Source organism: Homo sapiens, chromosome 3, assembly GCF_000001405.40.
Source record: "Homo sapiens chromosome 3, GRCh38.p14 Primary Assembly".
In the NCBI taxonomy this organism is placed as follows: Eukaryota; Metazoa; Chordata; class Mammalia; order Primates; family Hominidae; genus Homo; species Homo sapiens.
The window spans coordinates 123,855,031-123,874,142 of NC_000003.12; the positions used below are offsets into that span (position 1 = coordinate 123,855,031).

Consider the following 19,112-nt stretch of genomic DNA (forward strand, 5'->3'; position numbering starts at 1 on the left):
AAATAAAAAGCAGTTTCTGCAGTTTCACTATGTCTAATTGCGGGTTAACTTTTGTTTAGCTTTCAAAGTATTAGGAGACACTTTTGTTCTGAGAACTCATGTTGTTACTCAATTCTGGAAAATTATTAATCATTTATTTAAATATTGCTTCACTTCCATTCCCTTTTTAAATCTCTTTCTGTAGCTTTTATTAAATAATGTTGAAGCCTGTCATTTACCTTCCATACCTTTAAACCGTTCTTTCATGTTTTTGACATCTTTATATTTCTGTGCCGCAGCCAGGCTAAACTTCTCCGTACTATTTTCCAATCTGTTAACTCATGCTTCAATGGTAACCAGTCTCCAGTGTATCCCATCTATTGCATCTTATTTCAATAACTATATTTTTCATTTATATATGTTTTTATATATACCTGATCTCATTGTTTATTATTTTTTTTAAGAGATGAGGCCTCATCCTGTCACCCAGGCTGGAGCATGAGCCTGTAGTTCTAGCTACTCAGGAGGTTGAGGTGGGAGGTTTGCTTAAGCCCAGGAGTTGGAGGCTACAGTGAGTTATGATTGTGCTACTCTGCTCTAGCCTTGGTGATAGAGTGAGACCCTGTCCTTAAAAAAATAAATACAAGAAATTAAAAAAATAAAAACAAAATTAAAATTTTTAAAAAGGAGAAGGAGATCATCTGTGAATGCCAACCATTCCTAACTGGTGCCCCAGAAGCATCATCACTTTGCCAAAGCCTCTCACTCCAAAAGACAAGCATGGTAACCAAAGCAAATAGACCCCGATCCTGCTTTTTGCCACCACTACCTGCCCTAGAGATTTGGGACCTTCTGCTTTTACACCAAAGCTTTCACTGATCAAGCCACCTAGAGCAGAGGACTTTGTCAGGAATTTTAAAGACTAATATAATCTTTTCCACTCATTCGAGTGTAAACATTTCAGGTAGAAAGAGTGAGATGAAAGAGGAAACAGTGAATACTGCAATTTGTTTATATCTCAAAACTGCAAGTCTATTCTTTCCAGAACAGAACTTGGTACACTGGGGCCTGGGCACCTGAGTCCCCAGTGTTTGTGATGTTATCCTTACTCAGTTACTGGAAATATAAAGGGACAACACCTAGTTTGGAATCAACAAATGGAGAATCTATGACACTTCAGTAGTTTTTCTTCCTCTTTACCTGGAAAGGAACGCTTTGTTGCCTGTGAGTGTGGAAGGAGAAAGTTGGTTCCCAATTGGAACATTTTCCTCTGTAACACACCACTACAACCCTCTCGTTTGTGCATACACTGGGAACTGCCCAGAATTGGTCTCACCAGGGTACCAGGTTGAATGAGGCACATAAATCTCAATGCTAACCACCTAACAACAGGGGTTATTTCACATGTGTGCTTCTTTTTGGTTTTGCTTTTGCCAAGTCAACCCTAACACAGCCAGTTTTCCATTTAACTATATTATCCATTCAAATATTTATTGAGTACCTCTTAATAATAACAGCCTTTATTTAATGGGGACCTTCTTTATGTATTACAGTGCATTTTATATACGTTCCTAATCTTCACATCAGCTACTCATACAAACCAGGGCAATGTTATCTTCATTTTTCAATATAGGAAACAGGCTCAGAGAAGTTCAGTGATTTCTCAAAGTGTTACACAGGCTGGACTTGAATTCACATATGACTCCCAAACCCAAATTGTTTCCATATTGCAAACTGAGGACACCTGATCTTTGGTATAAAAAAAAATTGTGCAAAATTGACAAATAGGATCTAATTAAACTAAAGAGTTTCTGCACAGCAAAAGAAACTACCATCAGAGTGAACAAGCAACCTACAAAATGGGATAAAATTTTCGCAACCTACTCATCTGACAAAGGGCTAATATCCAGAATCTACAATGAACTCAAACAAATTTACAAGAAAAAAACAAACAACCCCATCAAAAAGTGGGCGAAGGACATGAACAGACATTTCTCAAAAGAAGACATTTATGCAGCCAAAAAACACATGAGAAAATGCTCACCATCACTGGCCATCAGAGAAATGCAAATCAAAACCACAATGAGATACCATCTCACACCAGTTAGAATGGCGATCATTAAAAAGTCAGGAAACAACAGGTGCTGGAGAGGATGTGGAGAAATAGGAACACTTTTACGCTGTTGGTGGGACTGTAAACTAGTTCAACCATTGTGGAAGTCAGTGTGGCGATTCCTCAAGGATCTAGAACTAGAAATACCATTTGACCCAGTCATCCCATTACTGGGTATATACCCAAAGGACTATAAATCATGCTGCTATAAAGACACATGCACACGTATGTTTATTGCGGCTCTATTCACAATAGCAAAGACTTGGAACCAACCCAAATGTCCAACAATGATAGACTGGATTAAGAAAATGTGGCACATATACACCATGGAATACTATGCAGCCATAAAAAATAATGAGTTCATGTCCTTTGCAGGGACATGGATGAAATTGGAAATCATCATTCTCAGTAAACTATCGTAAGAACAAAAAACCAAACACCGCATATTCTCACTCATAGGTGGGAATTGAACAATGAGAACACATGGACACAGGAAGGGGAACATCACACTCTGGGGACTGTTGTGGGGTCGGGGGAGGGGGGAGGGATAGCATTGGGAGATATACCTAATGCTAGATGACGAGTTAGTGGGTGCAGTGCACCAGCATGGCACATGTATACATATGTAACTAACCTGCACATTGTACACATGTACCCTAAAACTTAAAGTATAATAATAATAAAGAAAGAAAGAAAAAAGAAAAAAAAAATTGTGTGTCATGGGCTATGGCCCTAACTAAGTTTTCAATCCTGGGGCAAATCCAGCCTAATAGCCTACACTGGGCCTGTCACCCTGGCCTGTATATATTAATTTTCCCTTGCACTTCAACCCTCCCACTTGCACTTGGGGCCTATGGCCTGATGACTCTCAGCCACGGGCATAATGTAAACCGAAGGACAAAGGACTTTTGGGTACCCGCTGGTATTGGATTCTGGGCCATCTTCAGTGCCCTAAGGGTTGGTAGTTTTCTTGCTGCTGCTCCTGCTACAGAGGCTCTTGGGAGCTATCTGCTTGTCATGCTTATGTTTATCACTTGCAATAGTGCCCAGATCCTGTGGTATTGTCCTTGGACCTGAAGATGGTTTCATAGACAGAAAAATGTGGAGTGCAGCTTGGGAGAACTGAGAGGTCTCCAGAGTGGGAGAGGTCTCAAAGTACTAAGGAAAGGAAAATAGGACTAGGTTCTCCAGAAATGTGATTCTAACCTTTCACCCATTCCCTTTGTCTCTTAGGTCCCCAGACAGCCTGAGATAGCCATAGGCCTCTTAGTCCATTTTCTGTTGCTTATAACAGAATACCAGAAACTAAGGAGTAAGAAAGAAATGTATTTCTTACAATTACAGAGGCTGAGAAGTACAAGGTCGAGAGGCTACATCTGGTAAGAACCTTCCTGCTGGTGGGGACTCTTAAGATTCCTGAGGCAGTGCAGTATGCTGACCATGCTAGCTCAAGGCTCTCTTCCTCTTCTTATAACACCACCAGTTCTCCTCCCTTGATAGCCATTAATCCATTAACACATTAATCTGTGAATGGATTAATCTATTCATTAACCTATTAATCCATTAATCCATGAATGGATTTATCCATTCATGAAGGCAGAGCCCACATGACCTAATCACCCCCACCAAAGGCCCCACCTCTCAACACTGACACACTGGGGACCCAGTTTCAACATGAGTTTTGGAGCGGACGTCCAAAACATAGCAGCCTCCTTTCACTAAAATGTATCTGTTCACTCATATTAACAGCTCTCTTCCTACCAAACTGGCTTCATCCAGGAGAGCTGTGTGCTTACGAAGAGTCAGCTGGCTTGTCCCTAAAACCGGTTATGCCCATTGTATTTATTATTGAAATTGAAACACTAAATTTACATATAATTTAAATAGTATATAAAGTGATTAAATGTGAATATAAAAGATCTGTTTCTGTGAAAGTTAAATGATAGAAATGAATTGTTAAAAAAATTACTATTGAATTAGGTTTGGATGGGACAACTGTAAAAAACAGGGAAAAATTATAAAAACTAAAAGAGTTCTGCATTCTAATGGCTTTCAAAGTGCCTAAATTCCATTCTACACTAAAAAGATTCAAACTGGAATGTGCAGAAAATGCCTTACAGGCATAGAGCAAACAAGTAAGATAACATAGGCTCCCATTTGTAAACCCAGTTGGGTCCCATGGTGAAAGTTTGGCAACTAAATGTTTAACATTATATGTTTTAAGTTAAAATGTTTTAGGTATGTATACATGAAGTTTTCATCAGCTTCTCAACTAGTCAATTACTCATCCTAATCACACCTCCAACACAGTCTGTCTATTCCTGATTACATCTGACTCCAAGTCCGTGACAAGTTTAAGTCCTTCCAGACATGGGTACTGAAATAACATTGCTGAAGTCACTTTAGCCTGACTTAATCAGTCACAAGCCATGCATTTCCAAAAATCTAATTTATGTTCAAAAGATGAAGCTGTGTCACAACACAAGATATTAAAAGAACTGTCCATATACCACTATCATATGAAGAGCTTCTATAGCTCAAGGAGTAAAAGACAAATCGTTTAATAGAAAAATGAGCCAAGGACAAGAACAAACAATTCACAAATAGCCAAAATACATGGAAACATGTCCAACCTCAGTAGTGGTAAGCACAAATTAACAATGAGATAGCGTGTATTACCCATGAGGTTCACGAAAGTTTAAATGACTGGTATCTGTTTCTGGTAACGTGTGGGGATCAAATTGCTGCCAGTAATTTCCCCTTTAGGTAACAGATACAAAAAAAACAGATACATATATAAATTTTTAAGTGATGGATTCTTTAATATTTTCAGACGCAGTTAGAAAAAAAAAAAACTCCCCCTCAGAAGGAAGGAAAAAGGCATGATTCTAAACTAAACACAATTCTAAAAGTGAAATTCCAAAAACATTCTGAGCAATGGCATCATCACTAGCATAAGTATATACTTTCTGAAGAAGGTTATTTTGAAGGACATCAGTGACTGGGATGATGCCTTCTGTTATGCTGGTTAAAATACCCTCCTTTGATTCTGCAGACAGCAGAGCAGTGCTCACGCCCTGGCAGGCCCGGCACACGGCTCCAGACCAGAGGTGTAGGGGGAGCCATGATGCTGAGCAACCAGCATCACTGTCTCCTAGACCTGCAGTTCTTCCCTACACCCTGTGTACAAGGCCTGCGTTGCACTGGGGTGGACAGCTGGCTGCTCGAATTCTTTGATCAGGGCACTGCTGTGTCTCTAGCTTCTCATGCTGAAAGAGACTTTTTGGTATTTGAGCCTAACGACACCCAGAACCTGGAATAAAATAAAGACCCACCTTCTCTAGAGGATCAGGGAGCCAAGGACATAGTGTTCTAGCTATACAATGAAATGCAGATTTCCCAATAAAAGGCAAAATTCTTCACTTCAGGAGGTTGAATAGGATGGAAAAGAATTCCAGCTGCTTAAATTTATGGCACTGAAAAAAGCCCTGTCTGAGAATAATTCTTGTGTCTGAGCCCAAGATGCTGTCACCTTGCCGTGGATCGTTAAAGTACTCAGTGTGCTCCCATCCTCAGAGCTGTGCCCTGAGACAGCCTAAATTGGTCAATAAACACAGTAGTTCTGTCTTGTTGCTTCTTCTTCTGAAATTAAGAATATTTTAGCTGAGCCAGTGTCAGAGTAAAATGCATAGGGGGCCATATTTAGGTAAAAACTGGTTAGACACAGGCCGGGCACAGTGGCTTACACCTGTAATCCCAGCACTTTGGAAAGCTGAGGAGGGAGGATCACGAAGTCAGGAGATTGAGACCATCCTGGCTAAAACGGTGAAACCCCGTCTCTACTAAAAATACAAAAAATTAGCCGGGCATGGTGGCGGGCGCCTGTGGTCTCAGCTACTTGGGAGGCTGAGGTAGGAGAAAGGAGTGAACCCGGGAGGCGGAGCCTGCAGTTAGCTGAGATGGCACCACTGCACTCTAGCCTGGGCGATAGAGCGAGACCCTGTCTCAAAAAAAAAACAAAAAACAAAAAAAAAAAACTGATTGGACACTGTGTGATTGCATGTTGAGATCATGAAAGAAAATGTCAATCATCCTCCTTCCTGCTCTATATTTGAAAAAGAAACTAGCCAAGCAGCCCCGAGGGCCTACCAAGATAAGCTCTGCAGCGAGACAGCTGGGTTCACACCCAGCACCATCGCTCACCAGCAATGCGCCTGTAGAAGCCTGTAGGTGTCTGTCCTTCAGATCCCTCATCTTAAATACAGAGGTACTAACAGAGCTCCCCTCATGGGGTCATCATAAGGAGAACCTTAGTTAACAGCTCTAAAGTGCTGCCCTCACAGTGAACACTCAAATATCAGTTATTACTGTTGGAAGGGAGAAGGTACTGGAGCTGGAGTAGACGCCAGAGGGCCTGAATGTCTAGCATTAGTGTAACAACCCTTGTAGAAAGCATTTATCCATATGACTCTGCCCAAGCTGTCTTTGGCCATTTACATCTGGCATATACCACATACCTCTTTAAGTGTGTCATTCACTAACTACATTGAGCTCCCGGTGGGCAGGAAAACAAGTGTCCTAATCCAGCACAGAGTCTCAACAGGTACCCCAGCAGGTACTTGACAAGTACTTAATTGACTCTGCTTCCTGCCTATATGGAGAGTGGACTGGACTCAAAATGTCAATCCTACAAACTCCATTTAAATGGGCTTTTCTAGAAGTGGGGCTAGATCAGGACATAGTCATCAAAACCAGGGATAGACATGGGTTTCTGTGGGCCATCTGGGCAACAATACACTTGAGGTGTCACCCCTTCCGCAGGCAGGAGTATCCTCATGCTTGCTGTCAGGGAGCTCTCTGTTCACTCAGAGCAGAAGCACCTTCCCTGCCCACTCCAGAGCTCCAGGCCCGTGGGGGCTCCATTGGAATCCGAGCCAGCAGTCAGTGCCCTTCCTAAGGAAGGCTCTAAGGCCATGCTGGCTCAGCGTCACCAGTCTGGGCTGCCTCCTGCACCACCTTGAGTATTTAGAGACCAGCTCAGCTCATGGTCCTAGCTTCTTACTGTAACTTCATGGCCATCTGTGCTAAAACTATGCAGTTACACAATTTAAACTGGAGAATCCTGTGTCCCTGTAGTTCATCTGTGTATTCAGCAAGTTTTCCTGAGGGTCTACTATATTTCTGGGCCTTGACCACATTCTTAAAATACTGAATCTTAAAATAGCTGACACACCATTATTGAGCTACTATTCTAAGTGCCTTAAATCCATTGTCTATTTTAATTCAGTGAGGTTGGTGTTATCTCTGTTTTACAGATGAGGAAAAATGAGGCACAGAAATGAAGTAACTTGCCTGAGATCACAGAGTGAGCTGCAAGGCCTGGATGAAGACCTGAAGCCAGGTCTGTCTAACAGAGAGTAGGCATCCTAAACATGATGCTTGCTGACTTTCCCTACCTCTACTTAATCTATTTATCTTCTCTGGCTTTATGACTCTTGCTCATGTCACCCTTACTACCTAAATTCAAAAGATTTAGACTAGCTGTATCTTGCCTATTTCATGACTCTTCTAGACCAGGATTGATATGACAGAGAACCAATCCCCTGATGCTAAATAAAAAAGGTGAAATCCAGGTTAGGCTTAATAACATCCCCTTTCAGCAGCCCCCACCTCCCTTCTCCCCTACTTGTTCTTCCAAGTTTTTCCGTCTTTTTTCTATCTTCTCCCCACTGTGCCCACTCAGGTATCCCATGGGCTCCCCAGCTCAATCCCAAACTGAACTCCCCTGCTTCCTGAATTCCCTACCAGGGCTTTACACTGAGCTGCCTGCACTCACGTTGAAAACCTGTCATCCACGTAAGAAGGGTTATTATAACACAGTGGTTTAAATACGGGCTCTGCATCCAGACTGCCTGGGTTCAAATCCTGGATCTGTCTCTGCCAGGTGTGGTTACTTAACCTAGCTCTGTCTCAGTTTCTTCCTCTGCAAGAGAATAAAAACAGTACCTAACAAAAAGGAAGGTGTTTTTGCAACAAATGGGGCTAGAACAACGGATATCCACAGGGGCAAAAAAGAAATCTTGATCCCTACTTCACACTATACACAAAAATTAATTTGAGATGGATGACAAACCTAAACATAAAAACTATAGTTATAAAGCTTCTAGATGAGAAAATGGTGATTATCTTGGTAATTTTGGGGGTGGTAAAAGTTTCTTTGGACACAGAAAAAAAAATAGCCTTGCCAAAAAAAAAAAAAAAAAAAGGTAAAACTTCTGCTCTAAGAAAGAAAATGAATAGGCAAGCTACAAATTAGAAAAACATGTTTGCAAATCACGTATCTGATAAAGAACTGGTATTCAGAATAAAAAATTCCTACAACTCAACAATAAAAAGACAATTCAAATTTTTAAATGGGCAAAATACTTGAATAATATTTCAAAAAGAAAGATACATAAATGGCCAATAGGCACATAATAGCGCTTAATATCCTTAATTATTAGGGAAATGCAAATTACAACTATAATAGGATACTGCCATAGCAGTATCCACAAGAATGACTAGAATTAAAAAGACTGACAATACCAAATGTTGATGACGATGTGAAGCAACTAGATTCTGATACATTGGAAATATAGGTGTATAAATGTGGAAACAGACACTTTGGCAGTTTCTTACAAAACTAAACATAGACTCATCTTATGACCTAGCAATTCCACTCCTAGATATTTACCCAAGAGAAATGAAAACATATGTCTACCCAAAAAGACCTATACAAAAATATTCATAGCAGCTTTATTCATAATAGCCAAACTGGAAACAACTTTTTTTCCAAAAACTGGAAATGGGATAAGTAAACTGTGGTATAGCCATAAACAAAATACTCTTTAGCAATTAAAAGGAACGGACTGATACACAAAACAACATGGATAAATCTCAAAAACAGGCCAAATGAAAGAAACATTAAGCCAAAGAATATATACCATACAATTTCATTTATGTGAAGTTCTAGGAGAGACAAAACAAATCTGTGCCTTAAATATTAGAATAATGGTTGCATCTGGAGGGTGGGGACAGAAATTGGAAAGAAATACAAAGGAATTCTGTAGGATGATGGTAATGTCCAAATCTTGAAAGGGGTTTGGGTTTCACAGGTGCATGCTTTTGTCCAAAGTCATCCAATGGTATGCTTAAGATTTGTTCATTTCACTATAAATAAGTTTTACCTCAAAAGAAAAAATAACGTAAACAATATTCAACTCAAGGTAATGGTATGCATGCTTAAGTATTTAGGGGAATGTACAATTTCCTAATGTCTGTGACTTAAACATATCACAAAAACAAGATGGACTGATTGACGATGGAAGGATGGACAGATAGGTGATAAAACAAATACAGGAAAATGTTAACTTTAGAATCTAGGTGGAGGGAATATATGTATTCACCATACATGTGTTTAAACTTTGCTGTATACTTGAAAATTTTTATAACAAAATTATAGAAATTAGTCCCTACAAAGTAAGAGTGTTCCTGGTGCTTTGGGAGGCTGAGACAGGAGGATTGCTTGAGGCCAGGAGCTTGAGACCAGCCTGGGCAACATAGTGAGATCCTGTCTTTACAAAAAGTAAAAAAATTAGCCAGGCACGGTGGCATGTGCCTGTAGCTCCAGCTACTCGGGAAGCTAAAAGCAGGAGGATCGTTTGAGCCCAGGAGTTCGAGACTGCAACCACTGCACTCTAGCTTGAGTGACAGACTCCATCTCTACATATATGTGATTGTTGCATCATCTTTTACATTCTCTTTTTTGTCACCTCTCACATGGGCCCAAACACCTGCTAACCTCACAATCACTCACATCCCTCCCCTTGCTGGCTTTCCTGCAGTTTCTAGCTTGGTTCAGGCCCTGGTTACATACCTGGATTTCAAATCTCTGTTTTGCCTATCTGTGGGGTTCCCTACTCCAATCTGGTTTGAATGTCACTGGCAAGTCAATCTTCCTAGTTCACAGCTCCTATTACATGTACTCTGCTGCTCAACAATATTTGATGACTCTTCATTAATGAATAATATCCATACTCAGTGTCCTGTAACAAGGCCCTTACATTCTAGCCTTATTCTGCCATTGTCCTAGGAAAATACAGAAATTATTAGCTATCATCAAACCAGATTACCAGTATTCCCTAACATACCATACAACTTCTATCTCCATACTCATGTCTCTTCCACAGGAATCTATTCCTAACCCACAGCTTTCAGCAGTGAAGAATATGAATGGAAACTGGTTAGAAAACTTTGGCCTTAATAGACAGGAGTTTCAAGTCTTCCTGTAGCTACTTAGCAGTGCTAAGCCAGCCACAGAAAACACCCATTCCCTGTGTTCGTGCATTCATTCACTTGCTTGCTAACTTGCTTAGTACTTATTGTGTGCCAGATAATGTGCTAGGTGCTTCAAAAAACAAACATGGCAGACTCTGTCCTGAAGAAGCTCCATTAGTGAAGAGTGAGGTAGAGAACAGGTATAATTCACCATAAGTCCTGATCTGAAGGTGGCAGATTTTTACTTCAGGTTAACTTTAGATTGAGACCGGTGAGAAAGTGGTAAGATTCTTGTGGCAGTTTTAAAACATGGTCTCAAAATCTTTGACACTCCTCCTACCAAGGTGCAGGCTTATGGCTGCTTTGATCAACAGAGTACGGCAAAAAGCAACACTATGTGACTTCTGAGGCCAGGTAATAAAAGACCAGGGAGTCTTCACCTGGCTCTCATGGAATGCTCCTTCTGGGAACACTTGCTCCAGAAACCCAGCCACCATGCTGTGAGGAAGCCCAAGCCACATGGAGAGGCCATATGTAGGCACTCTGGCTCCAGGTATCCCAGCTGAGCCCAGCCTTCAAGTTGTCTCAGTCTAGAAGCCAGGTGGTAAGTGAAGAAGCCTCCAAATGATCCAAGCCCCTAGCTGTTTGAGTCACCTCAGCTTTTCAGGTCTTCACAAGCCATTCCCACTGTGTCCTGTTCAAATTCCTGACCCACAGAACCCCAGAGCATAACAAAATGATTGTTGTCTTATGCCACTGTTTGGGAGAGTTTTCTCCCAGCAATTGATGACTGGAACAAACCCTGCAGAAATAGGTGCTACTTATGGCAGGACCCTGGGCAGTCTTGGCTAGGGGGCTGGAGCCAGGGAGGATTGAGACCTTTCAAAGAATATAACTGGTACACCCCCTTTAAATTTTCACCCAATTTATCAAGTTTACCACATCTTCATTTATTCAACAAATACGTATGGAGTGCCTGGTATGTGATAGGCATTATTTTAGAATTGGATAAAAATCCTTGCCCTCAAGGAGCTTACTGTTTAGTGGGAAAAACAGACAATTAGTGAGGAAAATACATAAAATGTAAACCATGTTGGATAGGGGATAAGTATAAGGAGAAAAATTAAAACTGAAAGAGGGGACATGAAATATCAGGATGAGGTTGAAATTTTAGAGAGGCCAGGAAAGGCCTCATGGAGAGGTGACTTGAATAAAGTCTTGTTGGAAAGACCTGGGATGGAAAATACCACATTGTCCCCTCCCCAGTACCCACCCATATCAGCTGCTCACACCTCGTCACCCAGACAGACCTCAGGACAACCCTTAGAGTCAAGGAGCTTGGGTGTCTCTAAAATGTTACCTCTCCTGTTAGAATTATATAATGCCAAACAGAAAGGGACGTCAGAAGCTATGCAGTCCCTCCCTCCTCACCCTTCAATGGGGAAACTGAGGCCATGGTGTTCCAGGTAGCCTGAGACTTAACCTGAGATCTGCATGTCTGCCCAGTCCCGTTATTTCTATGACTCCCCACTGGCTCCTAGAACACCCCTTTCCCTCGGTGGCTAAGCTCTTTCTGCTATGGCTGCATCATCCCAGCTAGAAGCACCTAATACTTATCAGTGACTAGTTTTGTGACAAATCCTTAGGGTAAGTGGGGCTGGGGAGGCCAAGAACAGAAGCAGCACTGGCCCCAGACAACTGTCCAGCATTCCCACCAGTGACACTACCACTGTCCATAATTTTCTCCACCAACAGCCCCATCCACGGTGTAGTCTGTGATATGAAAAATGGACATGTTCCATTTTCTCTTCCCAATCCATCTGTCATGGGTTGAAGTGTGTCCCCCCAAAAATCTTATTGAAGTCCTAACCTCTGGTACCTGTGAATGTGGCCTGGTTTGGAAATAGGGTATTTGCAGATATAATCAGGTTAAGATGAAGTCATACTGAATTAGGATGGGATTTAATCCAATGACTAGTATCCAAAAAAAAAAAAAAAAAAACCAGGAGGAAATTTGGATGCATTGGACGCAGACACACAGAGAGGAGGACATCATGTGAACATACACTGACACAGAGGGGAGAAGTCCATGTGAAGATGGATGCAGAGACTGGAGTGATACACATGCACCCAAGGAATGCCAAGGACTGCTGGCAGCCACTAGAAGCCAGAAGAGTCAAGGAAGGATCCTCCCAGAACCTTCAGAGGAAAGCTTGACTCTGTTTGAACCCCTGATTTCAGACTTCCAGCCTCTGGAGCTGTGAGAAAATGAATTTCCATTGTTTTGAGCCACCTGGCTGTGGTACTTTGTTACACAACCCAAACAAATGCATACACTCTCCTACATAAAAAGTCTGAAGCCACACATGGTTCCCATACAGTCTTCCTCCCTACAGTCCTCAGGTCCACAGCTCATAAGCAACTCCTGCCTCCCCCAACACCACTCCTTCTTATCTACCTGCTGTGTACATGCAAAGACTCCCACAGAGCCCTACAGAAAGTGAGTTGAGAGGTCAGCCATTCCTAGAGTTTTTAGTACAGTTTGCTGATTAGCCGGGTCCTATGTCTTGCTGTAGGCACAACCTAGTTTATAAAGTTTGGCTCCAACCAGTCTAGGATCTGTTGGTCTTTTTGAAAGGTGATAATTATAATCCTCAATGACTGATAAATGACTGGTATATGCCCTCTGATGGGCTGAGAGGTTGCACAGAAGTACCACCAGTGGGAGAGAGTTCACTCTCATGGGTCTAGTAGCAGCCTTTTAAATGGGAACCATCCTTCTAAAGGGCTAGTTGGCAATATGGAACAAAGGCAAAAAAAGAGGATCGTATCTTTTGACCTAGCAATGCTTTTCTTGGAATATAATCCAAGGAAATAATACAACAGAAAAAATAAACTATTTGGACAAAGATCATTATAACAGTGTTACTTATAATAGTGGAATTAAAAACTGAAAACATTAATTGTGGAACAATTAAAATAGAGTATCGTAATAATACCCAACATTTTCTGAGCACTTACTATGTGCCAGGCATTCCCCCAAGCACTTTGCTTGGATTCTCTCATCTAATCCTCACAAAAACTTTACAAGTTTGTTGTATTATCCCTGATTCTTTATAGATAAATAAACTTGTTCAAGGTCATACAGTGAGGAAGTAGCAAGTGAGCACTAATTTATACCCTGTGCTTAGTTTGACTTTATTGTGGCCACCTGATCTTGGACAAATTCCTTTTAACTTCCCTAAACTTTGGGCCATCAACTACAAAGTGGGAACAAGAACAATATCATAAGATTGACAAAGATTAAATGCAAAATGTACAAATAAACTGTAAAACATTATCCAAATGAGAAGTATTTATAGCAAAATAATAACTGAATATTTTATGTGGCAGGCCTAATTGCAGCCTATTTTACATGCCACGTTGAATAGCTGAAATTTTGTCTTTTAGGTAGCAGGGGATTAACATTGTTTTTAACCAGGGGTGTCACAATGAGATCTGTGTTTCAATACTGTTTTCAGGTACAATAATACAAGATTATCTCAGGGTGACAAAATTGGAACTTTATCTAGTTCTTGATCCTTAACAAGTTTTATGAGCTCTCCAGTAAAAGCCTTGGTCTGATTGTCCCAGAAGGCAATGAGGCCTCAGTCTGGGGTGAGCAGGGCGGCCTAGGAGCTGTAGTGCCCTTAACTCACAGACTCTGCAGGAAAGCAGGGTCCTCATCCCCTAACACGTGTGCAAAAGGGTCTTGAACCTTGTCAAGAGGAAAGCAGAAACCTCAGAACACATGAAAAGGTGGTGGTGTTCTGAAGGCAGTTGGAGGTGACTCTCCTCACTCCTCCCACACTGGGTAGTCATAAGGAGGGTTATTATTATCAACAGGTCCAAGAGGCCTTAAATTTTCCCATTAAATCCAAGGCAATTATGCAACTAATTCCTCTAAACCAGGACTGGCACAGCTCCAGGTTCCTATCCCAGTGAACCTGGCTGAACAATGAAAGACAAGAGGCCCAAACAACCTAAGGCATCATCCAGACCTAGGGTGGTCTTGCTCCAGAGCAGAATCAGAGGCTTGGCCCTTGAATCACCCCTCCCCATCTTTCAGCTCTGAAATATTCTAGGCAGGAAAAGGGGACCAGCACACCCTCTCCATATCCCAGTCTGCAAATGGATTCTCCCATGTTTTCAAGTCGTTTTGCACTTCTGTTGTCCACCACTCTGCTCACCTCTGTCAGCCCAGGAGAGAAAGTGAGGGACTTAACATACCCCTCACAACAATTCTGGGAAGTTGTTACATCTCCATTTTATAAGGGAGTGAACTGAAGTTCAGAGTAGTTAAATAATGTGCCCAGATTCACCCATCTAATAAGTTCTTGAGCTGGGATTGAAACCCAGGTCTGTTAGCTCCAGGACCTTCCCATCAACTGCCCACCCAGCCCTCCCAATCAATTAGGAAAATTGGCTAAGATGGACGATGAAATCTACCTGTGCAAAATCCATTTGTAATGCCTTGTCACATGGCTCTATCTAGTCCACACTCCACAGGCATGAAGGTCACTTAGGAGCCAGAAGGGCATGGACCCTCCTGCTCTGCCCCTTCCCACACACAGGCACACTCTTCTATAAAAGGATCTAGAAAGCCATGGTCCTGGAAAGGGGTCAATCAAGCCCTTTTAGAACACCAGCACTGGGCTGGCACCTGGAGGCCTGAATTCCTGAGCCTGCCAGCTATGGTGCCAACCACATCCCCCAGAAAAAGGACAGAGAGTAATTAGAAAGCAATGCCTCACAGACCAAACATGAGTCACATTTCTAAAAGAGTCTCAAAATGAAAGATCAGCCTGGGGCCTGCAGTGACAGCACTTGAGCCCAACTCCTCCACCCAACCTCCGTTTCTTCTAGGCTCCTGGGGGGACCAAAAAGGAAGCTGCAGCAGAGTACCACTGAAGGGCACAGGTGTTTCCACCCAGCCACAAAGGTTCACTAGCCATCTACCATATACCTGACAGGAGATCAGAGATGGCCCTATTGTGGCCCTACCCCTGAGAAGCTCATGGCTCAGTGACAATGCAAGCTGAGAAACAAAGACAGGGCCAGCACAGACCAGATGCTCTAAACCAAGTGGAATTTATCTCAAGAATACAACTTGTCTGGAACAGTTGAAAATCAATCAATGTAATTCACCACATTAGTAGACTAAAGCAGGTAGGTGTAGGCAAACTATGGCCCATGGGCCAAATCCAGCTTGTTGTCTATTTTTGTAAACCAGGTTTACTGAAACACATCCATGCCCATTCATTTACATGTTATCTACAGCTCCTTCCGTGCTCCAATGGCAGAGATGAATACCTGTGACAGAGATGGTATAGCCTGCAAAGTTGAAAATATTTTCTATCTGTATCTGCCTCTTTACAGAAAAAGTCCACCAGCTCCTGGTCTAAACTATTAGGAGAGAACCCTTTCATCCAACAAAACTGCAGGAACTCCAACTCCCTTTCCTCTCCTTTCTACAGACCATATTGGGAGGCAGATGAGCATTAGGGTCCTAGACTGTCAGGGTGGGAAGACCAGGCCACTGCTTCCCATGAAAGAAACAGTCCATGGTGTGACCGTTCGCCTCCTTCCCATTGGTCCCACCCCCAAGCAGAAGCCTCAGGGCTCCCTGCTGGTAAGGCTTTTACTAAAGCTCTCCTAATAAATGCTTAGAGGTAGGAAAACTGGTTCTACACCTCCATGTCCCCTTTCCCAACCCAACTGTCCCAGAAAAGGAGAACCCTAGAAATTATCAGAAAAGAAGAAAGGTCTCAAATCAATGATCTAAGCATTCACTTTAGCAAACTAGAAAAGGAAGAGCAACTGAACCCAAAACAAGCAGAATATATGATAAAGAAAAACCAATGAATCTGGAAACAAAAAACATTGAGAAAACTCAAACCAACAAACACCTGGTTCTTTGAAAGAACCAATAAAATTCACAAACTGCTAGCCAGATTGACCAAGAGCAAAAGAGAAGATACAAACTATAAATATCAGGAATAGAAAATGAGACATTACTACAATTCCTAAAGAAATTAAAAGGATAATAAGTTAATATTATGAACATTTATAAATATTCTGTCTTTTAGATTAAATAGACAAATTATCCCAAAGATACAAACTACCGAAAATCACTCAAGAAGAAACAAATAACCTGGACAGTCCTATATTTATTAAATAATTTAATTTGCTGTTGAAAATCATGCCGCAAAACAACTTCAGGCTCAGGTGTCACTGGCAAATTCTACTAAAACTTTCAGGAATAAATAACAACAGTTTTATGCAAACTCTTCCAGAAAATAGAAGAAGGAACACTTTCCAACTCATAAGGCTACCAATATACCCTGACACCAAAACCAGACAAAGACATCGGATCAATATCCTTCATGAATATAGACACAAAAAACTTCAATGAAATTGAGTAAACCAAATCCAGCAATATATAAAAAGATTAATAATATACCACAAGTGGAGTTTATTCTGGGAATGTAAGGCTGGTTAAACATTTGAAAATCAATTACTGTAATTCCACATATCAATAGACTAAAGCAAGGATCAGCAAACTATGACTGGGAAAACTATGACCAGCAGGCCAAATCCAACCTGCAGCCTGTTTTTGTAAATACAGCTTCCTGGAACACAGCCACATCCATTCACTTATCCATCTATTGTCTGTGGCCGCTTTCATGCTGCAATGGCAGAGCTGAATCACTGAGTAGAGGAGATTTATGAGAGTTGAGTAGAGAGTTGAATAAAGTACCTTATGGCCCACAAAGCCTAAAATATTTGTTATCTGGCTATTATGACCTGTTTTTAACTCCCAGAACACTTCTGACACCCAGCTATGTGGAGTTTTTTTCCTCATACCAACTGAATCTCTCTCTAGACACCAGCTGCGTCTTACAATCCAATTCAATGCTAACACTATCAACCTTGAGTTAGATCTAACCTTAGTGTTAGATCCTACAGCTTAAGGGCTCAGTCCCCAAGACTGCCCCCATTTCAGATCACAAGTCCTGGGCCCCTCTTATTTCTGACCAACCGACGATAAGTTAGGGATTCCCATGACCCCCTTCTTGGGTTTGATAATTTGTTAGACTGGTTTACAGAACTTGAGAGCCCTCTTTCCTTATATTTGCCAGTTTATTTTACAGGATACAATCTAGGAACAGCCAAATGGAAGAGATACATAGGACAAGGTATGTGAAAAGGAGCAGGGAACTTCCATGCCCTCTCCAGGCATTGCCAGCACCTTGCCAGCATCTCAGTGTGCTTAGTCAATTCCAAAGCTCTCCAAACCCCTTTGATTAGGAGTTTTTATGGAGGTTCCGTTACATAGGAATCACTGATTAAATCACTGGCCATTAATGATTTACTCAGTTTTCAGCCCTTCTCCCCTCCCCAGATGTTAGGGCAGGGTGTGCTGAAAATTCCAACCTTCTAATTACATGGTTGTTTCCTCTGACAATCAGCCCCCATCCTGAAGCTATATAGGGGCTCACCAAGTGTCACCTCACCAGCATAAACTCAGGTATGGTTGAAAGGGACTTATTATGAATAACCAAAGACATTCCTCTCACCACTCTCACTCAGGAAACTCCCAGGGTTTTAGAAGCTCTATGCCAGAAACTGAAAATAAAGACCAAATATATATTTATTATTTTTCTCACACTGCCCTTTGTGAAAAAGTTTGCCAACTCATGGACAAAAGAAAAAATATGATCATCTCAACAGATCCGTAAAAAGCGCCTGAACAAATCATTATTCATTCACGGTAAAGACAAAGAAAATCTAAGCAAATTAAAAGGAAACTTCCTCAACCTGATAAAAAGTATCTACAAAAAACCTATGACTAATATCATACAAGATGATAGAAGACTCAACACCTGCCTCCTAAGATTGGAAACAAGGCAATGATGTCTGTTTTCACCACTCCTGTTTAACATTATACTGGAAATCTTAACCAGCACAATAAAACAAGTAAAATAAAGGCAAAGAAATTGGAATTGAATAAATAAAACTATCTTTATTCAGAGATGACATGATTATCTATGATGAAAATCTCAAAGAATCTAGAAAAAAAAGCTACTAGAACTAATAAGTCAGTTTAGAAAAGTCAAAAGATATAAGGTCAACAAACAAAAATCAGTTGCTTAAAAATAATTAAAAAGCTCAGGGAAATAGTTAAGAGCAGATGAGGGCTGAAAATTGATTCTATATCCCAGCCTTTTAAATTGTTTAAGTTACACATTAGATTTAGCTAGCTACTAATCACATTAGATTTTCAAACTCTGCAAGTACACATTTTGCTGTACTTTATTCTGATTTAAATTTTTAAAAATCCATTAAAATACTAAATCAATTGTAGTTATAAATACTAGCAATGAACAATTGGAAAACAGAATTTTACTAAAAGTACCATTAAAAATTACACCAAAACATGAAATACATAGCTATAAACATGACAAAATATGTTCAATATGTATATGCCAAAAACTATAAAATATTGATAAGGAAATCAAAGATGACCTAAATGGAGAAATATAGTTTATTTATGTACTTAAAAATCCAACATTGTTAAGATGTCAATTCTCTCCAAATTGACTTATAGATTCAATGCAATACCAACAGACTTCCATCAGGAATTTATGCAGATGCCAACAAG

General features: G+C 40.9%; 1 protein-coding gene across 9 annotated transcripts in view, besides 1 other annotated feature; it reads right to left on the reverse strand.

Annotated features, from left to right (window-relative positions):
* The window catches only part of MYLK (myosin light chain kinase), a 274,284-nt gene that overhangs the window by 244,982 nt on the left and 10,190 nt on the right, over nt 1-19,112 (reverse strand). The gene's annotated exons all lie outside the window — the stretch shown is intronic.
* Nucleotides 6,159-6,359: a silencer, noted in NCBI's record as "peak4802 fragment used in MPRA reporter construct". NCBI's record gives its function as "represses an SCP1 promoter by STARR-seq MPRAs in K562 erythroleukemia cells {active_cell/tissue: K562}" and the evidence as "EXISTENCE:reporter gene assay evidence [ECO:0000049][PMID:32103011]".